Here is a 17,091-nt window from a genome sequence, read left to right as displayed (position 1 = left end):
CTAGACTCTATTTCTGCAGTTCTTGTGGGGGGCAAGTTCTGTTTTGAAAGTTTTCCATGGCTGAAAGTTTATCTTCCAAGGTCTATTTTTTCCCTGAACATTCATGCAAACAAATCAACTTTGAAAGAGAAATGCACTTTCCTCAAAGGATATTAAACTTGGGCTGAAAAGCTTTATTACATTTTTTCTGACTAGAACACCTCAGAGACACTGGTGGTGGAAGGGAAACAGAAGCCCAGGTTAGTTTCCCAAGGGGAAGGAGAGGCAGAGTGGGTCTGGAGTGGCTTGGCCCAGGGACTAGAAGGCACTTTTGCTGGGCTCCTGGCCTTGTGGGATAAGGGTGTATTTAGAAGGCATCAAAGTCAAACCATGATGTTAGTTATGTCTCCAAGAGTAGAAACTTTCTTCCAATGATCTGGGTTCTTTAATCTCTCAGATACCCTCCCATTTCACAAATGGCTGCTATTATTAAACTTGAGAAATATCCCTGGCTTTTCTTATTTTTCCTTCTTTCTAATTTCCAAATTCAAACTGAAGTAGAAGCTCTTTTATGGCCTAGTCTCTCCAAGAAACATTTTCTAATTTTTATCCTGAAATCCTTCTACTGAATGTACAATGCACATTGATAGAATAAAAACTTCAGCTGAATTAAATTTAAAAGAGTTTAATTGAGCAATGAAGGATTTGTGAATCAGGCGGCCTCCCAAGCCAGAGTAGGCTCTAAGACTCCAGCACAGCCACATGGCAGAAGAAGATTTATGAACAGATAAAGGAAAGCAACATACAGAAAACAGAAGTGAAATACAGAAACAGCTGGGTTGGTTATAGGTTGGCATTTGCCTTATTTGAATATGGTTTGAACAGTTGGCTACATTTGATTGCCAAAACTCAGTAATTGGCACAAGTGTAGGCTACGGTCTGTTTACACTTCCATTTGTTACAGTTCATGATGTACAGAAAAACGTTTAGGCCAAAACTTAAAATATGTAAGGAGGGAGCTTTAGGCTAAACTTGACTTAACAACATTGATATTTATTAATGTCTACCTTATACTTAATTGCATTCCATTCATGCTATTATTCATGAGGCTTTGAGAGTAAAGACCACACCTGGTTCATTTCCACATCACCTGGGGTGTCAAGCACAGGGTCTGCCACATAGAAGGTGCTTGACAACTATTTTTTGCTATAATAAACAAATAGCAAATCAATGTGTAAATGAATGACTGAATTATTCAAATGAAACATTGAGTAGATAAAACCAGTGAGGGCATCAATCATTGAGTTAAGGTTAGAATGAATCACTGTATCAATATCTGTACTAGTCAAAGCATTTTTAGATGCCGAGAACAGAAACCTACTCAGACTAGCCCAAGTAAAAATAGCACTAGGAGAGGGCAGGCTATTGCTTAACAACTCAACACAGTGTTTCTCTGTTGAGAAGGAAGGAAGTTTCCACAAGGACATAGAAGTAATGATACCGTGTGAACTGGGCTGGAAAGCCCACACCCAAAATGTCTACTGGAAAATTTTACTGATAATCTTACAACTCAAGGCTCCAGGGTACACAGCTGGGCCTCAGGGTACTAGAACCAGAAACAAAACAGATGGGAGCCAAGGCTGAGGGCTCCACATCCCTCTCATTCCTGTCCATCTGTCTGTCTAGCTGTTGTGCCTTCTCTCCTTGTATTCTGGCTCTCTGCTTTTGTCTGTATCACAATCAGTGTCTTCTAGATCATTTTACCTACATCCTTTCTTTACAAGACATTTCAGCGTAGGCGCCTGCCACTGTAACAGTGAAAAGGAGGTCTAGCATGACTAACTCTATTTTGCTTCTAATCTCCCTCCTTAGGTGATGATTATCTTTTAGGTTACCTGCTTTTGCTTACTTCTGTATGTAGGCCAAGCCAAGTAAGGGAGGAATTTTAGCTCATAGTTTACCTTTAAAGCAAGGATGACAATAGCCCCTTCCCAAAACTAACCCCTGAGTAGATAAGGAGGGTGTACACATGGTTAATACTGTTGTGTTAAAGATTTACAGGAGCATCGTGACCTAACCGAGGACAGTGAAAGTTACCCTTGCTGGTGCACAGATATCTGTGGTCATCAGTAACCTTTTGACCACCACCCTCTCCTTCACCTCTTCCCATAACATTAAAGGAACCCCAAATTCATATGAGCTTAAGATGTCTTTAATCTTAAGTCCGTCATCTTGGTTTGCTGGCTCTCTAAAATAAAGTCACTTTCCTTGCCCCAAGACCTTGTCTCTTGACTTATTGGCTATTGTGCTGTGAGTGGTATGAGCTTTGGACTTGATGACACCAAAAATTGCATTTTTTCTTGGTTCAAATCCTCCCCCAATACTCCCTGAAAAGAAAGAAATCTCAAGGACTCAGTCCACTCTCTTTGGCTCAGACCTGATTTTCCTTGGGGCAGCTGTTATCCCAATCTTATCAAGGGTGGTGGGGGTGGGCTCAGGCCAGCAGGGCACAGTCACATGGTCTGTTCCCATTTAGCAGGCCTGTAGGTAGGGGAGACAATGATAAACAGGCACAAATACAGCCAGCGAGTGAATGAATGAGTGAATGAACAAGACGTGGGGGTGACTCTCAGGCTTCTTCACCCGAGGTTGCTCTTTCCCAAATCTGCAATAGAGACCAGCAGCTACATGTTTTGGAAGCCTTGCCCCTGTCTCCACAGAAGGCAGCTGGAGGCCTTGTCAGGGGCTGGGGTGCGGATTGGGTTACCAGAATTCTACTCTTGCAAATACAAAGTATTAGCTCTCTTTCATCTTTTAGAGACAGAATCTTGCTCTGGTCACCCAGGTTGGAATTCAGTGGTGCAATGATAACTCACTGCATCCTTGAACTTCTGGGCTCAGGAGATCTTCCCACCTCAGCCTCCTGAGTAGCTGGGTCTACAAGCATGCGCTACCATGCTCGGCTAATTTGTTTACTCCTGGCCTCAAGTGATTCACTGATCCACCCACCTCAGCCTCCCAAAGTGCTGGGAGTACATGAGCCACTGTACTTGGGCTTTCTTTGTTATTTTAAAAGATACCAAAGGCCAGGCCCACCATGCCCCAGATGGTCATCTGGTACTGTTAGACATAGTTAGACAGGCATGAGTGGGGAAGGAGCAGACTCTCCCCAACGCACTAGGGATGTTGGGTGATGGTTTGGCAATCATCACATTGCATCTCTAAAAGTGATAAATTGGCAGCTAGCACTAGGGAGAGGCCATTTCTTGATGGCCCACCTCTGTTGCAGTAAAGTGTTAACTGAATGCAGGTACCAGGGAGAAGCAACTTCCTGGGCACATGCATTAAGAGATAAAATGGTGGAGTATAACCTTCCAGGGGCACACCACAGGAAAAGGGAAAAAAGCCTCAGATGGGCATGCATACAACTTCCTAGACACACTACGTGTGCTCACCTCCCAAGGGTAAAGAGGGCACAGTGCACATGGGCAGCCCACACTAAGAAAAGAATCATGGGAAAGGGGTGCAAGATGCTGGAGGTTGGCAATATGAAGACTTTTCATATCTATTGTGCTAGGCCATGGGTCTCAAATTCAAGTGTCAGGCATGTGACATACAGGAGTGAAGCTGGCTGAGTATAAGGCAGTAGGGAGTGTGTGGAGTGGAGTGAACTGTCAATTACATGCCCTTCCTAAAAGGGTGGCTGTCACTTGGTGTCAGGTTGTTGTGGCCATGTGGGAAGGTGAGCCCAGTGTGGCTAGATCTTCTGATTTTTTTTTTGAGAAGCTAGAAATTTTGATTTATATGTGACACTAGTCGGAAACTGTCTTAGTTCATTTTGTGTTGTTATGAAGGATACCTGAGGTGGAGTAACTTATGAAGAGGTTTATTTGGCTCACAGTTCTGCAGGCTGTACAAGAAGCATGGCACTGGCATCTGCTTGGCTTCTGGTAAGTCCTCAGGAAGCTTGTATTCATGGTAGAAGGAGAAGGGGAAACCAGTGTGTCCCGTGATGAGAGAAGGAGAGTCAGAGAGGAGGAGGGGTCAGGCTCTTTTAAACACCCAGCTCTCATGTGAATTAATAGAGCGAGAACACACTCATTAACTCAGGGGTGGCACCAAACCATTCGTGAGGGATCCACCCCCATGACCCAAACACCTTTCACCAGGTGAAACATTGGAAATCACATTTCAACCTGAGATTTGGCGGGGACAAATGTCCAAACTGTAACAGGAACAAATTTGAAAAGAAATGTTGGCTGAGAGCGATGACACATGCCTATTGTAGCAGCACTTTGGGAGGCTGAGGTGGGAGAATTGCTTGAGGCCAGGAGTTTTGAGGCCAGCCTGGGCAACATAATGAAACCCTTATAGCTACAAAAAAAAAATACAAGAAATTAAAAATTAGCTGGGTGTGATGGTGTGCACCGATAGTCCCAGCTACTCAGGAGGCTGAAGCAGGAGGCTGAACCCAGGAGTTCAAGGTTATAGTGAGCTATGATTGTGACACTGCACATCAGCCTGGGCAATGGTGAGAACTTGTTGCAAAAAAAAAAAAGACATGCTAATTTTTTTTTATTATTATTTGGACAAAACTCATGTGATCCTGCTCAGGCCGATCTGCAATCTATGCCTCGTTCAACCCTCACCACAGCTAGGAGGCACATCAGGCCAAGTGACTGCAGATGAAATTGAAGCACAGAGATGGGGAGGCTACTTATTCAAGTCTACTCAGCTGGGAATAAGAACACTCAGGACTTGAACCCAGTTCTCCTGGCCCCCAGTCCAGTGGGGTTCCACAAGAGAAGAGTCTGAGAAACAGGGCTCAGGCAGCAGTCATCCCTCAAGGATGAGAGGGCCTTGAAAGTGGAGAAAGGTCTGAACACATCTCCAGCCCTGGGGTGTTCATGGCAGTGAAATCCACAGGATTTTTCACCTTGGTGCTGCACAATTCCTGAAGAGATGGGGCAGATGTCTTGTTTTTATTTTGTCCTACTTTCTGCTGTTTTAATATCCAGTATCATTGCAATAAACAAAAACCATCTAAAGAATATATAATCTTATTAGTGAGAACTGGCTTCCCTGTGGCTGGTCTAAGTTCCAGAGAAAAGCCATTGGTCCCCCTGTCTCAGCAGGGCATCTCAGGCGAGTGGCTCTGACTCTTGGAATGCCACATCTGCCCTATTTTCTAGGACATTCCAAGCAAATGTCTCAATTAGGCCGCAGGATGGATGTGCTGTGGAGTGTGCTGTGATTTACATATTCAGAGCCCTGCAGTCTCTTTTGCCCTAGAAATGTCCTTCCTTGGCTCTGCAGGGCCCTTGAGGAGACTACTGGCTTCCCAGGGGGCACATGCCTTGGGGCTGGATGCCTGCGAGGGTGATGTTAAAGACCAGGCAAATAGCAATGTGGAACTGTGGAAATCAGGCTGATCCAGGAGCCAGGGATATTCTATGAGGCCTATTGGGCTCTGTGTCCATTCACTGGATGACCTTGGGCTTGCTATGTTCCCTCTTTAGTCTTGCCCTTCTGCTATGAAGTGAAAAGGATTCGATTAGGGGTTGCAAACTGGTGCAAGTTGTATTAGTTTGTTCTCACGCTGCTTATGAAGACATGCCCAAGACTGGGTAATTTAGAAAGGAAAGAGGTTTAATTGACTCACAGTTCCGCATAGCTGGGGAGGTCTCACAGTCATGGCAGAACATGAATGAGGAGCAAAGTCACGTCTTACATGGATGGTGGCAGGCAAGAGAGCTGGTGGGGGCAACTCCCACGTGCAAAAACATCAGAACTTGTGAGACTTAGTCACTACCACGAGAATAGTACGGGGGAAACCACCCCCATAATTCAATTATCTCCACCTGGCCCCACCCTTGACACATGGGGATTATTACAATTCAAGCTGAGATTTGGGTGGGGACACAGCCAAACCATATTAAAGTGATATTTAGCTCACACATGTATTTTATTCAACCTGCAAAGTGTTTTAGAAATCAGGGAATTACACACACACACACACACACACACACACACACACATTCAGATTTCTGATTTGTTTAAGTAAATAAACAGTCTGATATGACTGGGCCTAGATAGCACTGGCCCCCTTGAACAGTGGGGATGCTACCTGTTGCTATAATGCCACCTGGCCAGCTTCACCCATTTATGGAATCTGCTTGTCCCTTGAAGACATTTGTGTTTGTGACCCCTGGATTAGGTAATAATCCCACCCACTTTACTGTTACAAGGACAAAGTTGTATCTCCCTATCTTTAATCTGGAGAAGTAGAGATTCTTACCCCATTTTATAGGTTTGGAGCCCAAGGCTCCAAGACACATGTTCACCCAGGCTGTCAGTTACTATGAGGCGCAGCTGAACTCACACCTTTCTGAGCTCAAGCCCCATCTCCTTCTAGGCTCTCATTACGTGGGGGGTTTATCTCCAGTGCATACCTGAGCTGACTGAGGCTAAGGGTCCTTCTAGGTCTCATTGCTAGTGAAACCCTGACACTTCACTGCTTGCCACTTGCAGGACAGAGGAAAAGGCTAAGGGGTTGGGAACACCTGGAAAGTTCTCTGGTGCACCTGTTCTTGCATTCCACAAGGGGACTAGAAGGGAGAGGGAGGCCTTTGGGATAAGGGATTTACAGAGAGGCTAGGCAGGGCAGTGGGCAGAGTGCAGGGCTGGGCACCAGGGGATTCACTGACTCTGTTCCTTTCCTTGGGGCCTCCTGATCTCATGACTATAGGGAGGCCAGTTTTTCATAGACCTCATTTTCCTCATCTGCAAAATGGCATTGACATCACCCTTGCTTCTCTTGTGGAGGTGCTCGTGAGACAACCGAGGGCTTTGCAAAGTTGCAGAAACTCAAGGCATGATGACAGAGCATCAGAGTTAAGAGCACAGCCTCTGTAGGCAAATCCACCATGTGCCAGCTGTGTGCCCTCAGGCAGGATGCTTAACCTTTCTGGTCTAAGTTTTGTGTTCTGTAAAATAAAGTCAATAATAATCCCTATGCCGAGCAACTGTGGGCATCCAATGAGATGTCTCTACCAAGTGCCAGGCACACAGTAGGTGCTTCATACAGAACATGGACAAACACATGGGCCTATGATGACCAAGGGTGGGAGTGATGCTGAAATGCACAGAATGAAGGCCCTGGGAAGGCCAGACCAGGGGGACCAGTGCAGGGGGATAAGCACAGAAACAACTTCAGCAAAGTCCAGGCAATGTCCTCACCCTGGTTCCTCCTCCCGCAGGTCATCATCACCACAGCTGGAGCAGGGAGGCAAGAATCCATGAGGAGGTGCTTTGGGGCTGGGCATAGGCTCTCAGAGGGTTTGTCCTGCTCCAGGATGATAACTCAGGGCTCATTTCCTTCTTTTACCAGTCTCCTAGAGAAAGCCCAGCCTGGTAGGCTAGAAGTCTGGCCCAGTGGGTAGACAGAGGGTGACTGACCCCAGATTCTGGGCAACTTGATCAAGCGGGGGTGGTTTAGTCTGGCCACCTTAAGCTAGTCCTGCTCCATACTGGTGGCCTGGTTGACAAGTCCCAGTCTGGTTATAATCATTGTAATTTAAGTACTAATAACCCCCAACCCTCCGCTGCCCTCAGGGGAGTGGCCTCTTATGGCGGTGCACACTGCAGGAAGGGATGCCGGAGGCTGCCTTTCTGTTTTATAGGAAGCCATCCTGCGGAACCAGCCTTGCAATTCTCTCCTTGAAAAAAAAGCCCTGGCTGTGAAGTCTTTGTGCATAGAAGTGGGGAGAGGAGGCTGAGCTGACCCCTGCTCATAGGTGTCCCAGCTTTCTTGTTGTTTGACCCTAGGATATGAGAGTTAGGTTGAGAGTGAGGGTTGGGGCTGGGATTAAGGCTGCCAGGCCCTGGAGGAAACATCTGGGGTGTGATACGAGGCTGATACTGGTTTTTGGGCGCTGTGGTCTCACCCACTGCCAACCAGGCACTATGCTAGACGTTTCTATGTATTTTCTCATTTAATCCTCCCAACGAACTGGCAAAAGAGGTATTATAATCCCCACATGATAGCTGGAGAAATCAAGTGTCAAGGAGGTGAAGTTGCTGACTGAGGTCCCATCAGTGGCAGGGAACAGAGTCCCCATTTCTCTTGCTTCTCAGGAAACTGGAATTCTTTTCCTCATTGCATAGCTGAAGAGACTGCAGCCCGGGAAGGGAAGCAATGGTGCCACAGCCAATCAGTGGAGGGTCGAGAATTGAAGCAACTCCCCAGGTCTCGAATCCACAGCCCTTTCTAGTTAGCCCAATGGGGAAGGCCCTCATGATGGAACTGCCAGCTCCTTTGAAAAGCTTCACATAGGTGTTTTGCCAGTTCTTGTCCCCAGAGGCATCTTGTCTATGCAGTCCTGCAAAAAAAGAGGCCAGCTTTTCTGTCCTCTGACAGGGGCTAATGGAGTGTAACAGGCATGTGCATGAACTCTGGGGCCAAGTCACTAAGATTTGAATCCCAGCTCTGCCACTGGGCATCTTTGACAAGTACAGAAACAACAGCAATAAAACCCTTTCTGCCTCCCTCTCCTCCTCTGTAAAATGGGATAAAACGATATGACAAATCTCATAGATCACTGTTTAGAGTTCTGAAATCGGGCCACAGGTGTGAAGTGCTTACAGCAGTACCTGGCATATGAAATTGCCAGCCGCCATTGTTTTGGTGCAGGTGAACAGTGGTGTGGAGCTGCAGAGAGAACATGGGGGGCTGGGTTCCCACCCCCAAGCCCCTCCACTCCCTGAGTCTGAGTTTCCCTGCTGCTGCTCAGTTTCTTAGCACCCACTCGCCTCCAATTCCGAATCTGCGATTTTGCTGTGCCAGAGGAGTTTCTCAGTGACCCAGCACAAGCATTCATCTTTTCAGTGCATGGGACACATAGCATCACACGGGTCTCCCTCTGTAGCGTGTGAGCCCACGTGTTCAGCTCCCCCTGGTATTCCATGGCTGCACTTATTTCACCTCTTCCCTCTCACCTGTTCCCACAAAGCATCACTGAGACCCCGTGGGTGCCAGGCCCTGCACCAGAGATAGACGCTGCCCTGCAGGAGCTCTCATTCGGGGGTGATTTTGCCCCCTCCAACCTCCAGCAGACAGTTAGCAATGTCTGGAAACATTTTTGGTTTGGTGGGTGCTACTGGCACCTGTGGAGCTCTGCTTAGAATGCGACCTGGAGGGAGCTCCTACCTGTCTTTTCGTGCTGCCCCGGCCCTCCCTACCCCAAGGCTCTGTGGCTTTCAGTCCCCAGCTTTCTTCACCTAGAAAGATCACCTGAGATATGGGAGCCTAAGTCACAGCTCACGTTTATGGCCCTTCCTTTCTTCCCTGTGAAGAAGTGTCTCTCTGCTTTGCAAGCTAATAGTGTTGTTAATAGTTCCCATATGCTTATTGTGTTCAAAATCTTTATGTGGATTAATCCTCACCACCACCCTAGGAGGTAGGTGTTATGATTAACCCAAATTTTGCAGGTAAGGTAATTGAGGAAGAGAAGTTAAAAAATGTGTCTCTGGTCACACAGGCAATAAGGGAGCTGTGGTGTGCACTCCAGCCAGGGATGCGGCTAAACACCCTGCCAGGCACGGGGCAGCCTCTATGACAAAAAATTTTTCAGCCAAAATTGCCCATAGTGCTGAAGTTGGGAAATTCTAGTCTTTTGGACAACACAGACATGTGGCTGAATGGTTAAATTAAATGTGAGAAGCCTACGGCAGAAGTAGGGACAGAATTATTTCGAGGTCCAGAAGTGGACCGCATCAGAGGGAAGCAAAGGCAGCGCCCATGGAGGGGGGGACGTGACAACATCCTGTCTCCTCTGTGTCTCAAATATGTTCCCGAGCTTCAGTTGATTTTGTAGAGCCTGCAAATACAGCCCTTCTGACAGTTGAAGCCCCATCTGCTCTGGTAATTTCATTTGTACTCCTGGATCCAGCCATGCCTGAATTCTTGTACTCTCTGGTCATGTGGCACCTCTAGGTTTCTTTATTCCTTAGACTTGTTCGAGTTTAGTTCTAATAAATAGATAAACATTATGCTGGTAACACACTCACATATCTTGGGCAGAGTTTGCTTCTCCCCTAAGCACCTGATGGCCCCCCACCTCATATCTGCTCTCTTCCTCCTTCCTATGGTATTTTATTTATCCTATGGTTGGTGGCTTCCATTAGGGCTGCAGAAGTGGCAGCTGCCATCCCTGCAGCATCAAAATATCCAAGCGTCAATTGCGCGATTGAACTGTTCCATCAGCCCGGACTGGGGACGCCATGATCAGATGTGGTTCGTGGAACAGCTGCCCGTGCAGGGCTGGCAGTTAATTAAAAGCCCCACGCACTTAGTGATTAACTAATCACAGCATGGTGGCAGTCGGTGATGAGGCGGTGACTTCTCTGCTGGAGTCAGCTGAGAAGCTCCAAATGTCTGCCTTCCGGCGGCCGGCCCCGGCAGGGGGCTTTGGGAGCCCCAGTGTAGGCGTCCCAGCAGTTTGCCTAGCAGATTCCCAGCTGTGCCTCTTGTTTAAAGCTTACAGGAGAGAGAGTGAAAGAGGACCCTGGTGGGAGGAGGAAGGGGTGGCCATCACTGCAAGGGCTGGGCAGGGTGGGGCTGCAGAGGAAGGGAGGGGGTGCTGTCAGCATTTGGGGACCACTGTGCAGGCAGAGGCTGAGCCTGATGAGACGTCAGGAAGGTGGCAAGAAGGGAGGGAGTTGGCCATAGGTCCTGGGTGGAGTCTCGGGTTGAGTTCAGGGTTGGAAGAGAGGACAGAGCCCTCTTCATCTTAGGGCGGTGCGGTCCAAAGGTTAAGGGTGTGCTAGAACCAGGCTGCCAGAGTGCACCATACGGCTCTGCCTCTTACTTCCTGTATGACCATGGACACAATTTTTAACCTCTCTTCCTCAGTTTCCTTACCTGCAACATTTGGGTTAATAATAACACCTAGCTCCCAGGTGGTGGTGAGGATTAATCCACATAAAGTTTTCAACACAGTAAGCATGTGGGAAATAGTAAAGACGCTATTAGCTTGCAAAGCAGAGAGGCACTTCTGCCCAGGAAGGAAAGGAAGGGCCATAAGCCTGAGCTGTGATTTTGGCTCCAATGTCCCAGGGGCTCCTTCCAGATGAAGGAAGGTGGGGACTGAGAGCCATGAGACCTTGAGGCAGGGAGGGCTGGGGGTCCTGAAAGGCAGGTGGGAGCTGCCCCCATGTTGCATTCCAGGCAGAGCTGCAGGGAGCAGCTCAGGCTCTGCGTCTCCATGGAGGACCCTGGGCTGGCACCCCTGGAGCTGTGCGGGTTGGGTAGCTGGCTGCCCCTTTCCCACTCTGTCCTGCCTTCTAACCCAGTTCCCTGGTTCCTGATTCTGATTAAGTGCCACCCTACATGATTGGGAATAGCTGTGACTTCAGTGTCATGAATGCTGCCCCCCCGCCACCCCCCTCCAATTCCCCATGGTCCAACAGGAAAAGTTTATACAAGGCTTGTGGGCCTGTGGCCAGCTGGGTCTGAACTCCTCCAAGTCTCTCTTTGCTGGGGCTGGCTGGGCCATTGGGCAGGCACTGGGGTTGCAAGCCGCAGCCACTGGCCCTGACTCACTTGGACCAAACACATTTGTTGGAAGGAGCTGGAGTAGCTCTCAGAGCAGCAGGAAAGTGTGGAAATCTGGGTCTTGGGAAGCCCGAGCTGGGGGCAGAGCCATGTGTCATCTGCCTCCACTGGCTGTGGCATCTGTGTGTCCCTCTGCTCGAATTTTGGTGGGGACATAGCTGACCAGCTTGGTTGCTGGTCACAGGACAATCCTCTGTCAGGGGAGGGCAGGACCCTTGACAAGGGACTCAGAATGTATCCCATGAGGAGGGATGGTTCCCCAAATCAGGATTGGGGTGCTAGCATCAGAAGAGGAAAGTCGATACTGAGGCATCCCCTCAACTAAGCTAGGTCCAGGTTTCTGGGAGGGGCACATTGTGGGGCCCGGAGCCCCAGGAAGATGCCCTCCCTCTGCCTTTACATCTGTCCAGGCCCTTCTTTAAGGGGCTGGGTCACAGCAGGGCAATGGTCAGCAGGTACGTGTCCTTTCTTGTCCTTCCTACATCTACCACCAAGGGCCTGAGTATCTGGGCCATTTTCCACATTCTGAGGAATGTTGAAGGTGGGCGGACACAGTATCCTGCAATCAGAAGACGAGGAGGGACACCACCGCTCTCACTGCTGTGTGACCTTGGCACGCCCTCTGAAGTCTCTGAACTCTTGTCTCCTCACTGGGGATAAGGAGACTGTGTAGACAGGGAGTGCTTTGAAAAGTGTGAAGTGTGTGGGTTTGGGGACACCTTAGCAGGGAGTTGCTCATGTCAGCCCCACTCCCCACAGTGTCCTCCCTCTCCTTCCTTCCCAGCCCTTCACCCTGGGGGCAGGACCCTCTCCCTGCATTCCTGCTGAGGAGGCTGCTCTGGGAGCTGCCCCAGCACCTTGTCACTTCCTCGCCCAGCGAGGAGACCTGGCTGAGAAGGCAGCAGAACTGGCGGCATGCAGGGTGCCTGCAGGCAGAGGCCAGGTGGCCATGGGTGAGGGTGTGGGGTCATCTGGGGAATGGCTAATGTGATGACGGCTGTGGAGGGCAGGCAGGTCCTCGGCACCTTGGACAAGCTGGTCCCCACAGTCTTGGTGCTGCACAGAGGACATTCAGGGCACGTTCCCTATAGAAGAGTCTGAGGGATGGATCTCTCAGCCAGAATTGCTGGAAATAAATACACATCCTGGGCTCAGAGACCATCACTGATTTGGTGGAGAGCTGTTGGTTTTAAAGATTGGTCACTCACCGGATCATACAAATAAGTACCTCGTCTTAATCACTTTGGGCTGCTGCAACAAAAATGCCACAGGCAAGGTGGCTTACACAACATATTTCTCACAGCTCTGAAGGCTGGAAGTCTGAGATCAGTGTTCCAGTGTGGTCGGTTCTGGTAAGGGCTGTCTTCCTGGGGTGCAGACGGCCATCTTCTCCCTGTGTCCTCACCTGGCAGAGAGAGGATGAATGCTCTCTGGGTCTGTTTTTTTTTTTTTGAGATGAAGTCTTGCTCTGTCGCCCAGGCTGGAATGCAGTGGCGTGATCTCGGCTCACTGCAACCTTTTCCTCCTGGGTTCAAGTGATTCTCCTGCCTCAGCCTCCTGAGTAGTGGCACTACAGGTGCACGTGACCACGACCAGTTAATTTTTGTATTTTTAGTAGAGACAGGGTTTCACCATGTTGGCAAGGATGGTCTCGATCTCCTGACTTTGTGATCCACCTGCCTTAGCCTCCCAAAGTGCTAGGATTACAAGTATGAGCCACCGCGCCCAGCCTCTTTGTCTCTTTTTATAAGGACACTAATCCCACTCACAAGGGCTCCACACTCATGACCTCATCCCCTCCCACAGGCCCCACTTCCTAATCGCATTATGGGGTTAGGATTTCAACATGGATTTTTGGGAGGACAAACATTCAGTCTGTGACATGACTCTACACTTTACATAACGTGTTCATGCCTGCTTTCTTATTTGGCTTTATCTGCATTTCACAGGTGAGAAACTTAAAGCCACCAAGGCCAGGAGGCTTGCCCAAGTGCACATGGCAGTGACTTACTCTTGGTAAAAGTTTCTGTCTTCACTTAAGGGTGAGGTGATCCAGAGCTGGCCCTCAGCTATACTGGACACTATGTGGCCTATGAAAGACCAGCTGGGAAGGGGAGGGAAGTCTTTATGTTGGGCTTCCAGAAATCCACCCAGGGAGGACTTGTGTGAAAGTGATTCACTGGGAAGTGTTCCAGGAAAGACCAGCAGGGACTAGAGAATTATCTACGTGAGAGACAGGCCTTGCTCTGTGGAAACGGAAGCCACGGTGGCTGCTGTTACGGGGCATATGGCCTTGTGTCCTGCTGAGACCCAAGACTCAAACAGAAGAGAGCAGATCGGTGGGCCAGGGCTGGCCCAAGCCCCCTTTATCCTGGGCTCCACTGTCCTCAGTTCATGGCTTCTTCCTATGTGGCGGTATGTGCACTGGCCATCATGCCTGCTTTCCCAGACAGCAGGAATGAGGGAGGGAGAGGAAAGGGGGCACTGCTCTTTATAAGGACACTTCTCTGAAGCTGTACATGATGCTTTGACTCTGGGTTTTTGGCCAGATCTAAGGTCGCAGGCAGCCACAGCCAGCAAAGGAAGCAAGGAAATGAGGGCTTTGTTCCCAGCAGCCTGTGTCTAGCTAGAAAATGTGGATTCTGTTAGTGAAGGAGGAAAAGAGAAGGATGAAGGGGCACAAGTTGCAGCCATTGTCACAGCCAGAGAATGCAAAAATTGGACTTGGCCAAGTTTGATTTCCCCATTTGCCCAGCAGCCCCACATCTGCCCAGAACTTTCTCTGTGGGGTCGATGTGGAGCCTATCTTCTAAAGGGGTGGGCGCAGCTGGACTCTAGGAGTTCTGGGTCCAGTGAGGCCCTATCCTGTGGAGTCAGTCTCCCCTCTAGGAGCAGCAAAGGTTGGTGGTGTAGACAGAGCTCCCTGGAAGCTTCTTGGGGGTGGGCAGCAGGGGGAGCTGTACTGGACTAAGCCCTCAGCTGGGAGCTTGGCTTTTGAATTCCTGGTTCACCTCTGGTTTGCCAGATGGCCTTGGGCAGGCCTCTTAACTTCTCACATTCCTCAGGCTCAGCCCCATCCTCTGTAAAATGAAGACGATATGGGGAATTCAAGGCCGGACATGGGCGAGACAGGAAGCTCCCAACTCATGCATAAAATTCAAGAGGGTACCAAAAAAAACCTCAGTAATGGAGATAAATAATCAAGATGAAGAAATCATGCAGCATTTTTTATTGTGGTAAAGTACACATAACATAAAATTAGCCATTGTAACCATTTTAAAGTGAACAGCTGAGTGGCAGTAAGTGCATTTCCATTCTGCAGCCATCACTACCACCCATCTTCCCAGCTCTTTCTCTCCCCCATTAAACAAAAACTCCGCATTCCCCCTCCTCCCCAGCAACCACCATTCTACTTTCTGTTGCTATGAATTTTACGACTTTAGGTATCTCATAGCAGTGGAATCATACAGGATTTGTCCAGCAGTGTTGTAGCCTGAGTCAGGACGTCCTTCCTTTTGAAGCTGCTTATTATTCCATTGTGTGGATAGACCACATTTTGTTGATCCTTTCATCTGATCATGGGCACTTAGGTTGCTGACACCTCTCGGCTATTGTGAATAACACTGCCAGGAACATAGGTGAACGTGTACCTGTTTGAGTACTCACTTTCATTGATGTAATATTTTGTAAAAAATCAAAATTTATGCAAAAAATCCACAATGAATAAAATATCATTTTTTTTAAAAAAGGGTATTGCTTTGTCACCCAGGCTACAGTGCAGTGGCACAAATGTGGCTCACTGTAGCCTCAACCTCCCAGGTTCAAGTGATTCTCCCGCCTCAGCCTCCCAAGTAGCTGGGACTACAAGTGTGTGCCACCACACCCAGCTAATTTTTGTATTTTTTTTTTTTTTGTAGAAATGTGATTTCATTATGTTGCTCAGGAAGGTCGTCTTGAACCCCTGGGCTCAAGTGATCTGCTGGCCTCAGCCTCGCAAAATGCTGGCATTACAGACGTAAGCCACTGTGCCTGGCCTCAAAATTTTAAATAAAGACAACATCAGTAACCGTGGTCACTGTACTGAGCCATATCAGAGCACAGGCAGTGGAAGATGGGCAGTGCTTGCTGTGCATGATCCTGTCATTACTCCCCTTTTGAGGCTGAGCCTGAGGTGGGCCATCTTCTCCTTACCCTCAGCCTGGCCCTCCCTCCAGAGATTGAAGTGAGCCTGCGCTGAGTATGCCAGGCCTGGGAGCCTCATCTTCCCCAGCCTCACTGGGCCGATTTAGAAACTAGGGCCACAGAGGAGGTTCAAGGTTGCACAGTGAAGCTGGGGTTCCCTCTCCCCTTGGATAGATCCATCTTCATTAGCCCATCAGATAACAGCACCTCCCAGGCAGCTGAACTGTGGAGACAGCCACTGTGTCTTCCTTCCCTTTGAGTTGCTTTGCCAAGTGACAAAGCAAGAGATGTGTGTCCCCACTCAGAGTTGGTTTGCAGAGATTGGTTTGGGGCCATTCTAATGAGACAGGTGATGATGCTCTCGTCAGTTACCCCTTAGGTGGCCTGGGGCTGTGTGCAGGGGCTCAAGTGTGGGGACACCTGCCTGTGAGCCTGAGCTCCAACCAGGAGGAAGATGCCTGCTTCTGAGCTCACAGCCCCAAAGAGTTGAAAACCAATTCAGTCCCCCAAAGAGAACTGCCTCCTTTAGTCATTGAACACTTGGTGCACTCCTACTGCGTGCCAGGCACTGAGTGGGGCGGGCAATGAGGGTTGATAAGGAGAGGAGTTGGCCGTGGTCCTGACTTTAAGAAGCGCGTGGCTCAATAAAAGTTTTGCCCATTCGTCAGGAATTGAGATGTCTGGGGAAATGTATACGGAGGGCAAACCAGGGGGTGGTGAGAAGCCAGCTTGGCTCATCCTTGGCTGGGGATGTGTGTGTGTGATATGTGAGTGGAGTGGGTGATAGGTGTTTGTGTAATGCATGTATATTAGTTTGTGCGCACATGTATGAGTGTGTTTGCATGTGTGAATGTGTGTGTGAGAATGTGCATGTGTCTGTGTGCGAGTGTGATTGTGTGTTCACATATGCCAGAATGTGCATGTGTGTGTGAGTGTAAATGTGTGTGGGCATGTGTATGAGTGTGAGTGTGCGCGTGCACGTGTGTGTGTCTGTGTGTGTGTAAACGTGCATGTGTGCATTGTGTGTGTGTGTGCGCCTGTGTGCATGTATGAGTATGCGCATTTGTGCTCTTGCATGTGTGCTTGTGTGTATGAGTGTGTGCGTTGGGAGGGGGGTGGGGTGCTGGCTGTGGAAGGGCCACCCTTGCCTTGGGCTACCCTAGAGGAGACACCGGCTCCGAGGCACGGACCTTGCCTGCTATCTTGAGACCGACCAGCAGATGGCGGAATTGCAACGGGAAAGTCCGGGACCTCTGGTGCTGGGGAGTCGGAGGAGGGAAGGAATGAGAGGGAGGAGGGAGAGCATCTGAATCTGT

At 49.0% G+C, this 17,091-nt stretch overlaps 3 annotated features.

Annotated features, from left to right (window-relative positions):
• Positions 9,932–10,860: an enhancer, noted in NCBI's record as "H3K4me1 hESC enhancer chr16:49390729-49391657 (GRCh37/hg19 assembly coordinates)". NCBI's record gives its function as "activates a minimal SCP1, AML or CMV promoter by ChIP-STARR-seq in primed H9 embryonic stem cells {active_cell/tissue: H9 hESC(primed)}" and the evidence as "EXISTENCE:reporter gene assay evidence [ECO:0000049][PMID:30033119]".
• Positions 11,977–12,494: an enhancer, noted in NCBI's record as "H3K4me1 hESC enhancer chr16:49389095-49389612 (GRCh37/hg19 assembly coordinates)". NCBI's record gives its function as "activates a minimal SCP1, AML or CMV promoter by ChIP-STARR-seq in primed H9 embryonic stem cells {active_cell/tissue: H9 hESC(primed)}" and the evidence as "EXISTENCE:reporter gene assay evidence [ECO:0000049][PMID:30033119]".
• Positions 12,495–13,013: an enhancer, noted in NCBI's record as "H3K4me1 hESC enhancer chr16:49388576-49389094 (GRCh37/hg19 assembly coordinates)". NCBI's record gives its function as "activates a minimal SCP1, AML or CMV promoter by ChIP-STARR-seq in primed H9 embryonic stem cells {active_cell/tissue: H9 hESC(primed)}" and the evidence as "EXISTENCE:reporter gene assay evidence [ECO:0000049][PMID:30033119]".

The sequence above is a fragment of the Homo sapiens genome, chromosome 16, assembly GCF_000001405.40.
Source record: "Homo sapiens chromosome 16, GRCh38.p14 Primary Assembly".
Lineage (NCBI taxonomy): Eukaryota > Metazoa > Chordata > Mammalia > Primates > Hominidae > Homo > Homo sapiens.
The sequence above is the reverse complement of the archived record's forward strand: the minus strand, read 5'-3'. Positions and strand labels throughout refer to the sequence as shown.